Source organism: Homo sapiens, chromosome 9 (genome assembly GCF_000001405.40).
Source record: "Homo sapiens chromosome 9, GRCh38.p14 Primary Assembly".
NCBI classification, from domain to species: Eukaryota; Metazoa; Chordata; class Mammalia; order Primates; family Hominidae; genus Homo; species Homo sapiens.
Window position 1 is genome coordinate 98824115 of NC_000009.12, and position 17770 is coordinate 98841884.

At 46.7% G+C, this 17770-nt stretch overlaps 1 protein-coding gene across 6 annotated transcripts in view; it reads left to right on the forward strand.

Moving 5' to 3' along the window:
- The window catches only part of GALNT12 (polypeptide N-acetylgalactosaminyltransferase 12), a 42412-nt gene that overhangs the window by 16445 nt on the left and 8197 nt on the right, over positions 1–17770 (forward strand). For 5 of the 6 annotated variants that reach the window (NM_024642.5, XM_006717287.1, XM_011519018.3 and 2 more), the window contains 5 exons: positions 2638–2827; positions 7658–7843; positions 11135–11252; positions 12858–13034; positions 15888–16019. In NM_024642.5, the coding sequence (NP_078918.3) occupies positions 2638–2827; positions 7658–7843; positions 11135–11252; positions 12858–13034; positions 15888–16019 (803 nt within the window). Of the gene's footprint in view, positions 1–2637; positions 2828–7625; positions 7844–11134; positions 11253–12857; positions 13035–15887; positions 16020–17770 lie in introns of those variants that run through there. The other variant, XM_011519020.2, reaches the window with a different exon arrangement.

A 17770-nucleotide genomic window follows, 5' to 3' on the forward strand; every position in this document is an offset into this window, starting at 1 on the left:
TTGCTCTGACTTCAAAACTGGCCTCTGTGTGTTCTAATAGGTGTGTGCATTGGGCTGTTTTCACAGACTCAATAGTGACTCACACAAGATAGAAACAGGCTTCTCACATCACAAATCTGGTGTGCTAGTCTAGAATGGGTGTGGTGGCTCCTTGGTGGATGGGGCCTCAGCTCCTTCTGCACCTGTTCCCACCTTCTCTAGGGTGCTCTGCTGCCTTGGTCCTCATGGACCAGGCTGGTTTTTCACCTCCTACTCACTCTGGTCAACCAGAAGACTTAAAGGGGAAGGAGAGCCACACCCTTCCTCCCGAGGGCACTGCTTGGAAGTTCTCCACACATCCCATTGAGCAGAGCGTGGTTGCCTGGCCACGTGTAGCTGCAAGGGAGGCTGGGAGCTGTGGCCTTTATCCTGCTGGCTGTGTGTTCAGTTACAGGTCACAGGGAGAATGGGTTTAAGGCACAAGGAGCAGTGTCTGTGACAGCGTGTAAGCCAGGCTGGGGTAAGCCAGGCTGGGGTTTGGTGCTGACTATAGCCTAGAAGGCATTGGGTTCTGGGGTCAGGGCACCTGGGTCTGAGACGATGATCCAGTTATGGCACCTTGGGCGAGTTGCTTGTCTTTTCTGAGCCTCAGTTTCTCACCTGTGAATGGGTCTGTCCACACCTATCTCAAGAGAATTATAGTGGGGAATAAATGGGATCATGTATAGGACAGAACCTCATGTAGCAGCCGGCACATAGTAGGTGCTCATCTGCATTTCCTTTTTCCGTTTCCCCCCAGGGTCGTTTTAAATCTCTCCGTGTGGACATTGGTTCTGGGCCACACTGCACGGGCTTGAATCCCCCTCCCCCAACACCTAGCGACTAGACAACTTTGAGCAATGACCCTAACCAGTTTCAAACTTGGCTTCAGCCTCTATAAAATGGGAATAATGATAGCTTCTACCTTGTAGGATCATCGTGAGCATTGAATGAGATGAGGAGGGTAATGTGCTGGGTAGGTGCTTGGCATTTAGTGAGCTCTTGTTAGATGATAACTTCTATTTTTATAATGTTTAAATGTTTAAAAAGTTGCAAAATGAAAAAAACAGCATTTCACAAATATATTAATCTAAAGTCAAAGAGCGGATTATTTATTTTATAATAATGGGATTAAATAGCTCCTCAGTAGGCAGGAATACAGTAGAAATTCCTCTGACACATCTCAGTTCTCTCATAAAAATGTGAGGCAGTGTGGACCAAGCTTCCCTTCCTGTCATTGTGGGAACTTGGGAAAACAGGCATGATGCCCTGCTTTAACCTGTAATGAGTTAGGAAGTCCTGCCTTGCCTCCCCTCCCCACCATTTCTGCAGTGTCAGTGTAAGCTTGATGAAAGGGTGTCAGGCCCTCTCAGATGCAGGGAGACAGTTCAGGCAGACATAAAATTAATGCTGACAAGATCCATCACGAGTGCAGGGCAGCCATGCTGCACTCATGGGTTCACTGGGTACAGTAGCTAATTAGCTTTGCTTGCAAAATTACCTGCCTTATTCCTGCCATCAACTTATTTGTGGTTATAATTTGGATTTTTTTAAAAAATTGGCTGGGTGCGGTGGCTCATGCCTGTAATTCCAGCACTTTGGGAGGCCAAGGTGGGAGGATTGCTTGAGCCCGGGAATTTGAGACCAGCCTGGGAAGCATAGGAAGACCCTATGTCTACAAAAAATTTTAAAAGTAGCTAGGTGTGGTGGTGCATGCCTGTAGTCCCAGCTACTTGGGAGGCTGAGGTGGGAAGATTGCTTGAGCCCAAGAAGTTGAGGCTGCAGTGAGCCATGATCATGCCACTGCACTCTAGCCTGGCTGACAGAGTGAGACCCTGTCTCAAAAAAAAAAAAATCAACCAATTAATGCTTTTATTTATTGATTTATTTATAGACAGGCTCTCACTCCGGTGGCTGCTCTGGGCGGTAGTGTTAGCTTGTAGAATTTGGAGCCGGGTTCCCCTCATGGCTCTTCAACTTCCTTACTCTGTGACCTTGGGCAAGTTACTTAGCCTCTCCGGCCTCAGTGCCCTCATCTGTGAAATAGGGATAATACTATCACCTGCCTCAGAGGATTGTTATGAGGATCAGATAGGTTATCTAGAAATCACCTAGGTAGTACTTGGCACAGCAAGTCCTCTTTAGTTTTAGCTGCTATTATTATTGTTACTACTACTGAAACTGTAAAGTACTCCTGAGAAAATTTCTATTAACATAACTACTGTTTTTATAAAAATTGCGATTAGATGGTTCACGTGTTTTTTGGTTTTTAAATGCTCATGAGTCAAAACTGTAAAGCATTTTTTGTAACAGCTTTATTGAAATATATTCACACACCATTCAATTCACCCATTTGAAGTGTACAATTCAACGTGCATGTGTTTAGATGGGGAGCAAATGGTGGTTCTGGAATTCCTCCCCCAGCCTCCTCCTGGCCTTCGGAGCACTTCCAACCTTGGTTCTGGGTGAGGTAAGGATGTCCCAGGTGGCAGAGCAAAGGAGGCTCCTGTCTATTTCATCTTCTGTTTGGGACAGGGAGGCCCAGAAGGCCCCGGGTTGGGATGAGGCGCTCCTCCGAGATTGTCACGGTGACCCCTGTTGCTTTGTTTGCCTCCCTAGAGCACCTGAAGGAGCGCTTGGCCAATGAGCTTTCGGGACTGCCCAAGGTGCGCCTGATCCGCGCCAACAAGAGAGAGGGCCTGGTGCGAGCCCGGCTGCTGGGGGCGTCTGCGGCGAGGGGCGATGTTCTGACCTTCCTGGACTGTCACTGTGAGTGCCACGAAGGGTGGCTGGAGCCGCTGCTGCAGAGGTACGTGAGCCGCCCACCATGGGAGAGACAGCATGTTACCTGGAGTAGGTAGCATGAGGAACAGACTCATCACGTCACTTGAGGGTTAACGGGTTGCCTGGGCTCAGCTGCTTCTCTGTCACTGGGCAGGAGAGCAGTCCCTGCTTAGTTCGGCTGTTGAGACCGTTAAATGATTTAGTGCATGGCAAGTGCCTGGGAGTGCCAGCTGGAGAAGGCCCTGTGTCACTGTTTGCTTTTATTATTCCTTCTTTTTTCTTTTTATTTTTTGAGACAGAGTTTCACTCTTGTTGCCCAGGCTGGAGTGTAATGGTGTGATCTCGGCTCACCGCACCCTCTGCCTCCCGGGATCAAGCGATTCTCCTCCTCACTCCTCCTCAGCCTCCGGAGTAGCTGGGATTACAGGCATGCACCACCACACCTGGCTAATTTTATATTTTTTTGTAGAGATGGGGTTTCACTGCTTTGGTCAGGCTGGTCTCAAACTCCTGACCTCAAACTCCTGACGTCAGGCGTGAGCCACCACACCGGCCTTATTATTCCTTTTTATCCGGGCTTGTTGCAGAAAACCGAGGAAGTATCATCAACCAAGAACATTTTAAAAAATCCTCAGTCAAATAGAATGGCACTCCTAAAGAATACACATTTTGATGTATTTCTTTCAAGCAGGGCTGACTTAACCCTTACACCCAGGAGGAACAATGCCTAGGGCCCATGAAACTGGAAGGAACCCAGATAAATGTTATGAATTTCTTTTAAAATCAGAAGGGAAAAATGAATATCATAATAATGGGTATGTAATAATGAATCTAGCATGGATTGTATTTGTCTTTATACCAGTATAGTCATAAAATATGCTTTTTAATATGTCTGGTTGTTATAGAGGAAGGGTCCCTGAAAGTCATAATGTAACCCTGTTCTCAAGGCCATTGTCCTTGCTGTTCCACGGCATCTCACTCTCACCCTCCTACCTTCCCCCCTCAAGAAGCCACCATCTACTGGGGCCCACTTTTTGTTCCCTTCTGTCTCTTTCCTCCCCATGCTCTGCCTCGTCTCTCTGCCCTTTCTGTTTCTGCATCATAGAAGTCAGGAGCTGGGCTTGCCAACCAGAAGCTCCCCAGGTGGGAGAGGAAGGAAGGGATCTTTGCTTGGCCTCCCCGCTGTGGAGCAGGCAAAGGGCTGGAGGGGCAGGGTCTCTGCAGCTGGGGAACTGCTTCCCCGCAGATGCCAACTCCATGGTTGTTAGGGTTGTCTGAAAGAGCTGGGGACCCACTTGCCTTCCTTCCTGGGTGTGACCCAGCTGCCCCCTGCCCTGCCACTTCCTACTGTCCTGGCTTCTTGTCAGCTGCAGGTTCTATAGCTGTCTCTTTCTCCTCCTCAGCTCTGATGAGCTTTCCTAGCAGCAGATTCGAGGCTCCTCTGGCCTGTGATGGAGCTGGAGATTAGAGCACAGTTATGGCCGAGTGCTCCCTCTGGAACCCAGACCAATGGGCTCCCCTTCCTTCGTTCCCCCACTGCACTCATAGATGGCCACCTCTACACAGGTCTGAAATCATGGGGAGAGGACATTTCTTTCTCTGCAGCTGATGGATTAATGCTTTTAGAATTCCTCTTCATCCCACCCTTTGGACATGGGCCAGCCGCCTCCTTGCTGCATGCCTGTGGAAGAGGGGATTTTCCACCTCGGTTGTCTGTTAGAAATACCTGGGAAACTTTAAAAAATTTATATTTTAATTTTTAATTGTTGTGGGTAAATAGTAGGTGTATATATTTATGGGGTACATGAGATATTTTGATACAGGCATGCAATGCATAATAATCACATCAGAGGAAATGGGATATCCATCCCTTCAAGCATTTATCTTTGTGTTACTAATAATCCACTCATACTCTTTTTTTCTTTTTTTTTTAGACAGAGTCTCACTCTGTCACCCAGGCTGGAGGGCAGTGGCGTGATCTTGGCTCACTGCAACCTCCGCCTCCCAAGTTCAAGTGATTCTCCTGCCTCAGCTTCCTGAGTAGCTGGGACTACAGGTGCGTGCCACCGCACCTGGCTAGTTTTTGTATTTTTAGTAGGGACAGAGTTTCACGATGTTGGCCAGGCTGGTCTCGAACTCCTAACCTCAGTGATCCACCCACCTCAGCCTCCCAAAGTGCTGGGATTACAGGCGTGAGCCACTGCACCTGGCCCAGTCATACTCTTAGTAATTTTTTTTATCTATCTATCTATCTATCTATCTATCTATCTATCTATCTATCTATCTATCTGAGACAGAGTCTCGCTCTGTTGCCCAGGCTAGAGTACAGTAGGGTGATCTCGGCTCACTGCAGCCTCTGCCTCCCAGGTTCAAGTGATTCTCCTGGCTCAGCCTCCTGAGTAGCTGGGATTACAGGCATGCACTACCATGCCAGGCTAATTTTTGCATTTTTAGTAGAGATGGGGTTTCACCATGTTGGCCAGGCTGGTGTAAAACTCCTGACCTCAAGTGATTTGCCCGTCTCAGCCTTCCAAAGTGCTGGGATTACAGGCATGAACCACCACGCCCAGCCAGTTATTTTTAAATGTACAATTAAATTATTTTTTTTTTTTACTATAGTCACTCTGTTGTGCTAGCAACTGGTACGTCTTATTCATTCTTTCTATTTTTTTGTACCCATTAACCATCCCCACTCCCCCAACCAACTACCCTTCCCAGTCTCTGGTAACCATCCTTCTGCTCTCTGTCTCCATGAGTTCAATTGTTTTAAGTTTTAGCTCCCACAAATAAGTGAAAACATGCAAACTTTGTCTTTTTGTGCCTTGCTTATTTCACCTAACGTAATGACCTCCAGTTCCATCCATGTTGTTGCAAATGACAGCATCTCATTCTTTTTTACGGATGAATAGTACTCTATTGTGAGTATATGTACCACATATCCTTTATCCATTCATCTGTTGATGGACACTTCGGTTGCTTCCCAATCTTGGTTATTGTGAATAGTGCTGCAACAAACATGAGAGTGCAGATATATTTTCGATACACTGACTTCCTTTCTTTTGGATATGTACGTAGGAGTAGAATTGCAGGATCATATGGTAGCTCTATTTTTAGTTTTTTGAGGAACCTTCAAACTGTTCTCCATAGAGGTTGTACTAATTTACATTCCCACCAACGGTGTGTGAGGGTTCAACCTGGGGAGCTTTTTAAACACACCAATGCCTGGTCCCATTTGGATCTAACTCTTGGGGCTGGGGCCTCGGCTTCTGCATGTTTCAAAAGCTCCCCAGGGGACTTTGGTGTGCACGAGCATTGGGACACATCAGACTGTGGACTCTCCCTAAGGTGGCCCCAGACAGGAGTGGTAACCCTTTCCATCCAGGGGCTTTTGGAAATGTGGGAGGGTATTCTTGGTTGTCATGTCAACCAGGTAGGGCTCCTGGCATTTTGTGTATCAGGGAGGCCAAGTATCCTGCAGATCAGCCCTGTTCAGTGGAGAATGGTTCTGGCCCAGATGCCAATAGCATCCCTGTGGGTCCTGCACATTCTCCAGCCACGACTGGGAGTCCTATACTCCAATGCTGGTACAGCATTCCCCTAGTTTTCCCCTCCTTGTAAAAATTAGGCTTTCTGTGGTTCCAGCCAGCTTGATCACAAGCCATCAGTTCCTGGGGGAGCTGGCCTTTGCCAGGGGCCAGCTAGAACTTGCCCAGCAGGTCTGATGTTGGCCCTTTCAACCTTTTAAATAATGCCCTCAATTGCTTTAAATAAGCGGATGTTGGTGGATACCTAGTATGCAACTTCCTCAATTTGGGGAACTCACAGATCTAAGACCCTGTCTCACGCAACCTGTTCTGAACAGTGCAATTTCCCGATAGTTGTAATTCTTACCCCAGAGTGGTATTTCTAATATCCCCTCTGACTTTCTGGTGTCATTCTAAGGACACCGAAAGCTCAAGTCTGGTTGATCTCTGTTGCACTGTCCTGTGTGGCAGGACTCTTAGGATTTTTAGGTCTCAAATTCCAGACAACGTCCCCCAAAATGTACTCAAGGAAATCTAGTGTTCACACGTGGTCTAGTCTCAGTCCATCTTTCCTGGTGTAGTGGCAAATGCAAAGAAACACGGCCTGGAAGCATGCTGAGGGATGGCCAGATTTGTAATAATGTGGAGAGAACCGTTGAAGCCAACACACAGGCTGATACCTGCAAAAGGAAATTATAGCATTTTTCACTATATGTAATATTTCACAATAACAAACATTAAAATAAAAAAATAGCAATAGTTTCAGGTTCTCTGCCAGCTATCTTAAAAACATTTTCCCAGGAAGTCCTCACATTAACCCTCTGAATGGATATTATAATTCCAGTGTTACCACTGAGGCAATAGGCTCTGAAGTTAGGTGACTTGGCTAATGTCACACAACAAATAAATAGCAGGATTAGAATTTATATTCTAATTCCAAAGCTGACCCTTTGGTCTGGGTGCACCTTTGTTCTTAGGAGATAAGTATTTCTTGATGTTAAGGTGTTTCATTGTGATTAAACCTCTTGCACTTCTGAGAAATTGAAATCATAGAGCGTTTGGTCAGAATGTCCATGGATAGAATCAGAGCATATTAAAGTCATGGGACTTTTTGTTTTAAAGCCCTCCGTGGCCCCCAGATCTCCCCCATGGTGGTCACCTGCCAGGGCTCTGACACGGCTGCAGACACCTGGAATAAGAGAAGCAGGTCTTTCTCAGATGTTCCTCCCTCTTATTGGAAGGAAGACAAGAATTCACCCTTGAATTTCCCAATTGTCTTCCTGCTGCCCGTCTGCATAGGAGAGACGGATGGATGTCTTGGGTGCTTTCAGGATCCATGAAGAGGAGTCGGCAGTGGTGTGCCCGGTGATTGATGTGATCGACTGGAACACCTTCGAATACCTGGGGAACTCCGGGGAGCCCCAGATCGGCGGTTTCGACTGGAGGCTGGTGTTCACGTGGCACACAGTTCCTGAGAGGGAGAGGATACGGATGCAATCCCCCGTCGATGTCATCAGGTCAGGAGCTGACTTCTGGGTGACTTGTTTTTTAAGCATGCCTCATTGAATCTGGCTGACCTGTGAGCGGAGGCCCTCGGGAGGAATGGTTAGCTGTCAGCTTAACTACCTCCCCTCTTCCCACTTTTTTGCCCAGAGTATTTGTTTATTTTTATTAAACGTGTCTGCTACACATGTCAATTTTATATCGGTATATTTTATTTATTTAATTTTTAAATTGTGGTAAAATATACATCATAGAGAATTTACCATTTTAACCATTTTGAAGTATGCAATTTTAGGCTGAGCATGGTGGCTCATGCCTATAATCCCAGTACTTTGGGAAGCCAAGGTGGGAGGATTGCTTGAGTCCAGGAGTTTGAGACCAGCCTGGGCAACATAGCAAGAACCTATCTCTACAAAAAAATAAAAATTAGCTGAGCATGCTAGTGTGTATCTGTAGGCCTAGCTAGCTGGAAGGCTGAGATAGGAGGATCGCTTGAGTCAAGGAGTTCAAGGCTTTAGTGAGCTATGATCACGCAATTGTACTGCAGCCGGGCGATAGAGTGACACCCTGTCTCTATAAAAAAATAAATAAATAAAACAAAGCATGCAATTTTAGTGGCATCGAGCACATTCACGGTATTGTGCAAACATGATCTTTACCTATTTCCAGGAATTTTTCATCATCCCACACAGAAAATATCCCCACTAAGCAATAACTTCCCATTCTCCCCTTCCCAGCCCCTGGGAACCTCTGTTCTTTCAGGCGCCCCATGTGAGTGGAATCATACAATATTTGTCCTTTTGTACTTGGCTTCTTTGACTTATCATCATGTTTTCAAGTTTCCTAGAGAACATCATTCCTTGTGATGGCTGAGTAATATTCCTTTGTACATATATGCTACATTTTGTTTATCCATTCTTCTGTTGGTGGACACTTGGGTTGTCCTTTGGTTATTGTTAAATAATGCTGCTATGAACATCGGTGTACTTTTATCTGCTTGAGTCCCTGTTTTCCATTCTTTTGGGTATACACCTAGGAGTGGGATTGCTGGTCATATGCTCATTCTTGAGGAAACATCTTTAGGCCCCTTTGACCTGGGGTGTGGGTGGATCCATGGCAGGTGGAGGAGTCTGCTCTGGCCAGTGGGTGAGTCAAGCTCTGAGTAGAATGGGCCCAAGGGAGGCTCAGCAGCTCTCATTCTGGAGGTTTTGAAGTGATAGCCTGGCTTCTTCCTCCCCTTCCAAGTTCAGAAGCAAGTGGGAGACAGATGTGGGAGTTGGGCAGGAGGAGGTCAGGACTTCAGCCTCACCGCTGGTGTGTTGAACCGGAAGTAGGCTCTGAGTTTTGCGTCCACATTTGGCAGTTGGGCTTCTGAATTCTTTCACCAGAGTCCTGACCTTAAGATGACCCGCTGCTGGCAGGAGTGGAGCAAGCAAGGAGAGTGTCCAGAGATAAGGCTGGAGAGATGGGCGGGGCCAAGGGAAGGGGTTTGGACTTGACCCTGAGCAGGTAGAAGCCACTGAAGGGATCGGAGCAGGAAGTGACCTGAGCATGTGCTGCGTGCCATGTGGTGAGGGCCCTGGGGGGACCGTTGTAGGCAGGGATACCATTAGGAGGCTCTGCAGTCTTCCAGGTCAGAAACAATGGTTCAGGAGATGGTGGGCACTGTGGATTCCAGAGATGTTAAGATGGAAGAATTGGAAGAAATTGAGTGGGAATTGGGGAAGGAAGGAATTAAGAATGGCACCCAGGCTTCTGTAGGAGCCCTTAGTGAGAACATCCTGCTCAATCCCTCACTGAATAGGTTTGGAAACTGAGACACAGAGCAGGAGGCTCTAATCTAGGCTACTTAGGCAGCCTGTCATGAATTCATGGGGGTCCATGAATTCTAATTGCCCCGTTACCCCACATGCTCAGGGCACCTATCCTCCCCATCCCATAATATCCCTGTGCCTCAGTTATCTCATCTGTATAATAGGTACCAGCATATCCACCCTGCTTATTTCCTAGATTTTTAGGATAAACACACGTGAAGGTGCTTTGTAGTCTAGAACCTTCCCTTCCACTGGGGATGTTGCTGTTGTCTTCTCAGTTGGCCCCATGCTTGGAGTCCAGGGCAGGCCCCGATGCTGCAGGATGTTAACATTTTCAGTGGTTGCGCTCTCAATGTTCTCTTTCCCTATTTTTTTTTTCAAGTTGGGGTCTCGCTTTGTCACCCAGGCTGGAGTGCAGTGGCATGATCTCAGCTCTCTGCAACCTCTGCCTCCTGGATTCAAGTGATTCTCCTGCCTCAGCCTCCTGAGTAGCTGGGATTATAGCTGTGGGCCACCACACCCAGCTAATTTTTGCATTTTTTTAGTAGAGACAGGTTTTCGCCATATTAACCAGGCTGGTCTTGAACTCCTGACCTCAGGAGATCTGCCCGCCTCAGCCTCCCAAAGTGCTGGGATTACAGGTATGAGCCACCGTGCCCAGCCCTTTCCCTATTTCTGAATTCATCCTTTTGCCTGTGCAACTCTGGGACGTGCTGACCTTACAGTGTTCTGCCGTGTAGGCTGGAAGCCGTGGGCCGTTTCTGGTTAGTGCTGGCTTCCAGATAAACCTGGTGGTGGGTGGCGGGAAACAAGGCTGGCTGAAAAAGCAGCCTGAGGCTGGCTAGCTGGGTCCTAGTGGAGGAAACCACTCAAGAGGACCTGGCCCTCGGGGCACTTTCAGATGCCAGAGTTGCCTTTAGGGCCTTCTGCATACTGGCCTCTGAGTGGCATCTGTGAGTGCCTGCCTTGTGAGATCACACCTCCTCAGATGACCATGGCCTGGAGCCTGCCTTCTTCTCGGAACGTGGTCTCTTGCTTCTCTCTTCTCCTTGCTCTCTATGCTTCTAAATGTCCCTGGATTTCTCCCACCCTTAAGCCTTTGCTCATGCTGGAGAACCATTCCATTTCCCTTCTTCTTCTTGGCTAACTGTCCTTTGTCCTGCAGACCTTGCTTCCTCCAGGGAACCTAGTCCTGCCCTTTTGCCCCTGCCCTCCTCAGTGTTCTCCCAGGGCCCTGGCTGACCTTAGTTAACATATTTAGCACACACATAGTACTTACCTGCTGAGAAGCCTGGGAGCCACCTCAAGGCAGGGACCGTAGGGTACATCTATGCCTCCAGGCCCAGCCTAGTGTGGGGCACAGAGGTGAAGGCGGGATATGCTTAGAGATGACAGATGAACAGATGAAAGGGCTCGTGGTGGGAAGGTAGTTGGATAACTGTGATGGTTTTCTGCTGTCTACAGTGAAATAAGGATATCATACTTTTTTAGGTCTCCAACAATGGCTGGTGGGCTGTTTGCTGTGAGTAAGAAATATTTTGAATATCTGGGGTCTTATGATACAGGAATGGAAGTTTGGGGAGGAGAAAACCTCGAATTTTCCTTTAGGGTAAGTATTTCAGTCTTCTCTTTGGACATGTTCTTAACTGATTCTCTCTTTGGGAACGATGGGATTTGCTGTAAGAGCCTGGTGGACCCTGAAAGATGATGACACGCATATCCTATAAACATGCTTGCTTTCTTGTTTTAGCTTTTTAAAAAGTGTACTTTTTCTAGATTTGGGGCCAGCAAGGGCCTTGCGAGTCACATAGTTCTCTCTCACTCTATGGAGAGGAGGAAATGAAACCAGGAGAGAGGTGACTTGCTCAGGGTTAGGTTCCTCCTGATCCTGTCTTCTGGAGCCTTTACTTGATTAATTCCTTATGAAGTGGCCTCTTTATTTAGCACAGTGCCTTTCAAACTTTGACAGATGTAAGAATTTCTTTTTTTTTTTTTTGAGACGGAGTCTCGCTCTGTCGCCCAGGCTGGAGCGCAGTGGCACGATCTCAGCTCACTGCAACCTCCGCCTCCTGTGTTGAAGTGATTCTTCTGCCTCAGCCTCCCGAGTAGCTGGGATTATGGGCATGTGCCATCATGCCCGGCTAATTTTTGTATTTTTAGTATAGACGAGGTTTCACCATGTCATCCAGGCTGATCTCAAACTCCTGACCTCAGGTGATCCACCCGCCTTGGCCTCCCAAAGTGCTGGGATTATAGGTGTGAGCCACTGCACCCAGCCAACACATGTAAGAATTGCTGGGTAAACTTGTTAGAAAGACAGATTCACAAGCACAATCTAGAATTCTAGCTAGATTTGATAGCTTTAGGGTGGGACCAAGATTCTGCTTTTTGTAACAAGCCTTCCTACTGATGCTACTCTACATGGCCCGTGAAAACCGTATTGGAAAACTCCTAGCATTTCAGTAGATTTTCCAGTTAATGAAGTCTTACATTTTAAGCATCAAAACTTTGTGTAAATGTTGGTGCTTTTCAGTGGAAAATTAAGATTTTTAATAATATTTTATATGGTGTTCTGCCCTCATAAAAACTGAATAAACAAGAATTTGGCCTTCTACCGAGGACTCACGCCCTCTGTAATAAGTACCAGATGCTGTGCTTGGTTGTCCCATCTTTGGGAAAATGAGATATTCAAGGCTGTCAGTCCCAGTGTGAGATGGGCTCAGATGCCTTCGCCTGTTGAGTCTTTGGGTGTGCTTTTAATGGTCTCTCTGCCTCTTCCTTAGGTGTCAGGCTGCTCTACCTGTTTCTAGACGCTCTTCCTTTCCCCCTTCCAAACCTCTTTTCTTCCTTGCTGCTTTCCTATCTTCTGTGGCTAGGAGATCAGGTAATCAAGCCTGTGTTTTCTGTAATGAGTAAGTGGGTTGCCAGCGAGGTCTCTGTGGATGCTCCTGTGAGTCAAGTGCATGAGCTTTAGTGCATGGACTTTGGGGTCTTGGTTCCCACAGCTTATATGTTTTGGGGGCTGCTTTCTTGCTCTTTACCCACATTCTGTGTCATGAGTGTGCCGGGTAGGTGGCCTCCTGCCCGATGGAGGCTGAGCATCTTGGCAGTGTCCATCATGCCTTGCGTGTGCCTGGCCTCTTTGCTGCAGATACTATGGACCCGCAGCTCATCCCCTGCTCACCACCTGGCCTCTCCTTTTCTCTGTGTGCAGATCTGGCAGTGTGGTGGGGTTCTGGAAACACACCCATGTTCCCATGTTGGCCATGTTTTCCCCAAGCAAGCTCCCTACTCCCGCAACAAGGCTCTGGCCAACAGTGTTCGTGCAGCTGAAGTATGGATGGATGAATTTAAAGAGCTCTACTACCATCGCAACCCCCGTGCCCGCTTGGTGAGTTCCTCGGCCCACCTGCACTCCATCTGGCTTCATCTGAACAACAGCAGCTAATCGTGGCTTCCCCAACATAGTCGATCTGGTTCCAGAAATAGAGAATAAATTGGGTGCTCAGATACGAGTAAGGGGAGAATTTATTCCTCCATTTATAATAATTATATGCAGTCAAATCTTCTTATTTACAGCTGTTATAGTGCATAAAGCCACCACAAATGCTGAATTCATGAAAACAGAGCCATTGTTCTTAGGGGAAATACAGGGTTAGGTTCCTGCCAGACTTGGGGCACAGTTTTGTCAGCAGATCAATACAGAACCTTGTTTTCTATGTGTTTCTGTTCAAAGACACCTGTTTAACATATATCGTTGCATCATTAACATTGCACTCATGGCTAACAGCACGGTAACTCATGCCAGAATGAAGCTTACCTAGCACGTGTTATTTTCTCTTCATCACAACCTTCTTGCATTTAGGAACACTAGGTAGCACTTCAGCACTACGACTGGGGGACATTCTAGAATAGCTGGTGCAGTCACCAATACAAAGCAGGAAAAAATGTGGTGCCCAACAGATGGTGAAAAGAACACTGGTTTACAGGATGAGAGCTGAAACAAGAAGGCGGTGTGTGCCCTTGTTATATATCACCTGGAAATGGGAGTTAAGTGTTGGGCAACTCAAATTTTTTGTCCATGAATGTGTGTGAAAATTAGAAAACACCACAAGTATTGATTTGGAGGTTACAAATCAATTTTATTATAGCATGTAGGGAAATTCAGATACAGAACCAGTAAATAATGAGGATGGACTGTACCAACATAGATAGTTGGGGATACCTGGTGTCACAGGCCAGGCATTGTCCATGTGTTTTGGTTTTCCTCTTTGTAGCCAGTAGGGTGAGTCCACAAACACAGGGTACAAGTTAAGGCACAGTTCTTTACCTTAAAGCTATTGCTCAGGGACACATCCGCCTTATTAGTTAGGGGTCTGTTACCTCCCTCTAGAGCCTTCTTGTTAGCACCCTGGAAGCTTCCTTTTCTAAAACAGGGAGTCTGTTCTGCTTCCATTTCCAGATGGAAGGACTACTGGAGAGTGGCCCAGGCCCCCGCTGCTACTCTTTCTCACCATATGTCATGGTCATGGAAACCCCCCCACCGCCAGCCTAACAGATGTCTATCTTCCTCCCCACTCAGAGGCCTTGCTGGGCCCATCTCTCTGACCAATGGTGAAGGTGTGCCTGCAGTCACTGAAGTCTCAGCTCAGTTGGCTTGCTCCCCTGGGTCTCAGCCACACACTACAGGGACACTGGCCCATCCACCCACTGCACTGAGTCTGTCGGAGGCTGAGGTTCAGCCCAGACTGTGTCCTTCCTCATAGCGATTTATCTCAGGGACTTGTTTTCTGGTCCGGATCCTTGCTCTGCCTCTACCTCCGGGACCATTGTGGATGAGGGATCTGCCTCTTCTTTCCCAGGTCTTGGGCTTCAGATGAAACACAGTCCACTGCCTCTGCCCCAGCCAGCTCTGCATGCTCCATGGCAGGGTGCCTGCTTGCCCTGCATTTGCATAACTAGTAGGGCTGCTTGGCAATACAAGAAGGTCTTGCTCTAAGGCTTCTCATCAGGCCACTTCATGGAAGTCTCTTCTGAGTCCTTCCAGCAACCCTGCAGGGTAGCAATAAAATTCTCATTTTATAGATGAGAAAACTGAAGCTCAGAGAGACGCTGTTGGAAGGAACTTGTCCAGGCCCTGTGGCTGATAGGAGGTAGAACTGGGCTTGGGGCCTGTACTCTGCAGCGCACCTCTTGCTCTGCTCTGCAGAGCCCATGGGTTCTCAGCTGGACTCCCACTCAGCCCCTCTCTGGCTCTGGGCTCCATGGTCATTTGCTTCTGCCTCCTCCGTCTTGCCCAGCACCATAGAGTAGAAACACCCACTCTTTCCTCATGCACAGTCTGGAACCCATAGTTCCCTTTTCCTGAGGGTTCCCAGAGAATATTTTAGGGGGGCACTGAATGCACCCTTAGGCTTCATGTCCAAGGCCAAGTGCTAAATGGATACTTGGCTGAAGCTGGGGGCGCAGTGACTTTCACCAGTGAAAGAACTCTGGGAAATAGCAGAAATCTGAAATCTTATTCAAACATGTACTTATTATTACCATTTTGTTCAATATTTAACTTGTCAGCTTTTAATTGTTTAACATGACAGTGCAGGTACGGTAATATTTCTGCACTCAGCATTTTTCTTGTGGCTGCACATTTGCGATACTAAATAGAGGCTTGCTGTATTTAATTATTCAAAAGCTCTCAGTCATTAGTTTTGCCCATAAAACCAAACTTGCATAAGTATTTCTTTTTGCTTATTTCATACTGAGAACATGATTACATCTAGAATATTTACCTGTGTTTGAAAGTGGATATTCAGATATTAGTAGTAAACCAGAAAGTCATGGCATATGTTTCGGTGAAACTGACATTTCCCTGGTTGGGTTTCAGGATGACTTCTGATCACAAGCATGGGTCACAGGTCCGGGATCCATAGATGCCAGTGCAGCCCCAGGGCTTGGCTCCTTCACTCCATCAGCAGGCGGGTTGTCCTCTACCCTTGTGCACCTGGTCACACCCCCCTGCCAACAGAGCACCTAGGAATGGAATTGTCTGTGTGACAGCCTCTCATACTAGAAGCTAGAATTAGGTGCAAGGATGTTTTCTATCCTCTGTGCTCCACACAGGGCCTGGCATGCGACGAATGCTCCATCAAAGCTGGCTGGTGGTTAGTAAGTGAGCATCAGTGAACACAGGGGCTTTGAAAGGAAGCACTAGGACCCATGGGGTCTCACTGTTTTGTTGTTTTCTCAGGAACCTTTTGGGGATGTGACAGAGAGGAAGCAGCTCCGGGACAAGCTCCAGTGTAAAGACTTCAAGTGGTTCTTGGAGACTGTGTATCCAGAACTGCATGTGCCTGAGGACAGGCCTGGCTTCTTCGGGATGGTGAGTGAGGGTGGTGGGCCCACGGCAGGCAGGGACTTCCCTGGCCTCTGGGTCTGCTCTGCAAATCCTGGGCAAGAAAGGCCACGTCATGGGGAGCACTGGCTTCCTCCACTCCCACCCGCCTGCCCACCCCCCACCACCTTTTTATCCACTGCCCTTCTTTCTCCCTGTGAGCGTCTGGGCCGTAGGTGCAGAATGTCAGAGCTGGAAGCCATCTCAAAATTGACAACTATTTTGTAGGTAAGGAAACTGAGGCTTATCTGGTGTTTCCATGTCCTAGTTTTTACCAACGCCTTATCATATTACTTCTAGTCTCAATGGCTGGACTAGTTAATAATTCCAAGTTTGGAAGTCTACAGAGGCAATAGTGGGTATAGGGGAGTCACTTCGAGTATTTCAAAAAACCTAAAAAATGTTTTTGGGATGAGACCAGATAAAATGTCCAGTGTCTTTTGTTTTTGCTGGGAATGACACCAGCTTAGCAAGGTCTCCTCTGCTGTGATGTGTTGATCAGAAGTGCTGGTGTTCCATTCTAGAAGTCTTTGATACATATAAAGCAGGATATTCATGTTACATTCTATTTTCATTATGAAAATATTCAAACATATAGAAATGCAGAGAGAATGGTATGAGAATGGTATAATGAATACCATCCCTGAGATTCTAGAATTTTCAAGATCCTGCCTCTCTTTATCTCTTTCTCTCTCCTGTACTTCACCTCCACATTTTCCTCTTTTTAAGCAAATCCCGGGCATTGTGTCATTTCTCTCCTCTGCATTTTATGCATTTTCATAACATTTGGACATTATCTTACAAAACCGTAGAAATGAACAAGTATTTCTTGGTATCATTTAATGTCTAGTTCTAATACATATTCCCCCAACTTTTCCAGTTTCTCTTTGAGTGGCTGGCTAATTCGAATTGGGATCCAAACAAGGTGCACACATTGCATGTGATGGTTGTGTCTTGTCTCCTAAATCTCTTTTAATCTAAGGCAGCCCTCTTCCTTTTTCTTGTTAATATCTTTAACTTGTTGAAAAAACAATATGTTACCTGTGGAGTGTCTCACTCTTGCAATTGCTATTTTTTTCTTTGTGGTGTCTTCAAGTTGTGCCTCTCTCCCCCATATTTCTTTAAGATAGAAGTGAGTTCTAAAGGTTTGATTAGAGTCAGGATCCACCTTTTTGGCAAGAACACTTTGTGGGTGATGTTATGTGTTCATGTTGTGTCATATCAGGAGCATAGGAAGTATGGTCATCTTTAGTGATAAGGTTGACCAGTGGGTTAATGGAGTATCCCTCACCTGGACCAGTCATTATAAGACCCCCATCAGCCTCTGTCTCATGTTTTTAGTAGCCACTGATAACCATTGCCTAGGCCCATTATTTCAAATGGAGTTGCCAAATGGTGATTTTTCTCTTTCATTTCTTCCACATTTATTAGCTGAAATTTTTCATAAAGAAGAACACTCCCTCATTAACTAAAGCAATTTGGTATATGTGAGTTTTAGAATTCATACAGAAAAGGCACGACAAATTCTTTTTTTTTTTTTTGAGAGAAAAGTCTTGCTCTTGTCCCCCAGGCTGGAGTGCAATGGCGCGCTCTCAGCTCACTGCAACCTCTGCCTCATGGGTTCAAGCAATTCTCCTGCCTCAGCCTCCCGAGTAGCTGGGATTATAGGCACCTGCCACCATGCCTGGCTAATTTTTTTTTTTTGTATTTTTAGCAGAGACGGGGTTTCACTATGTTGG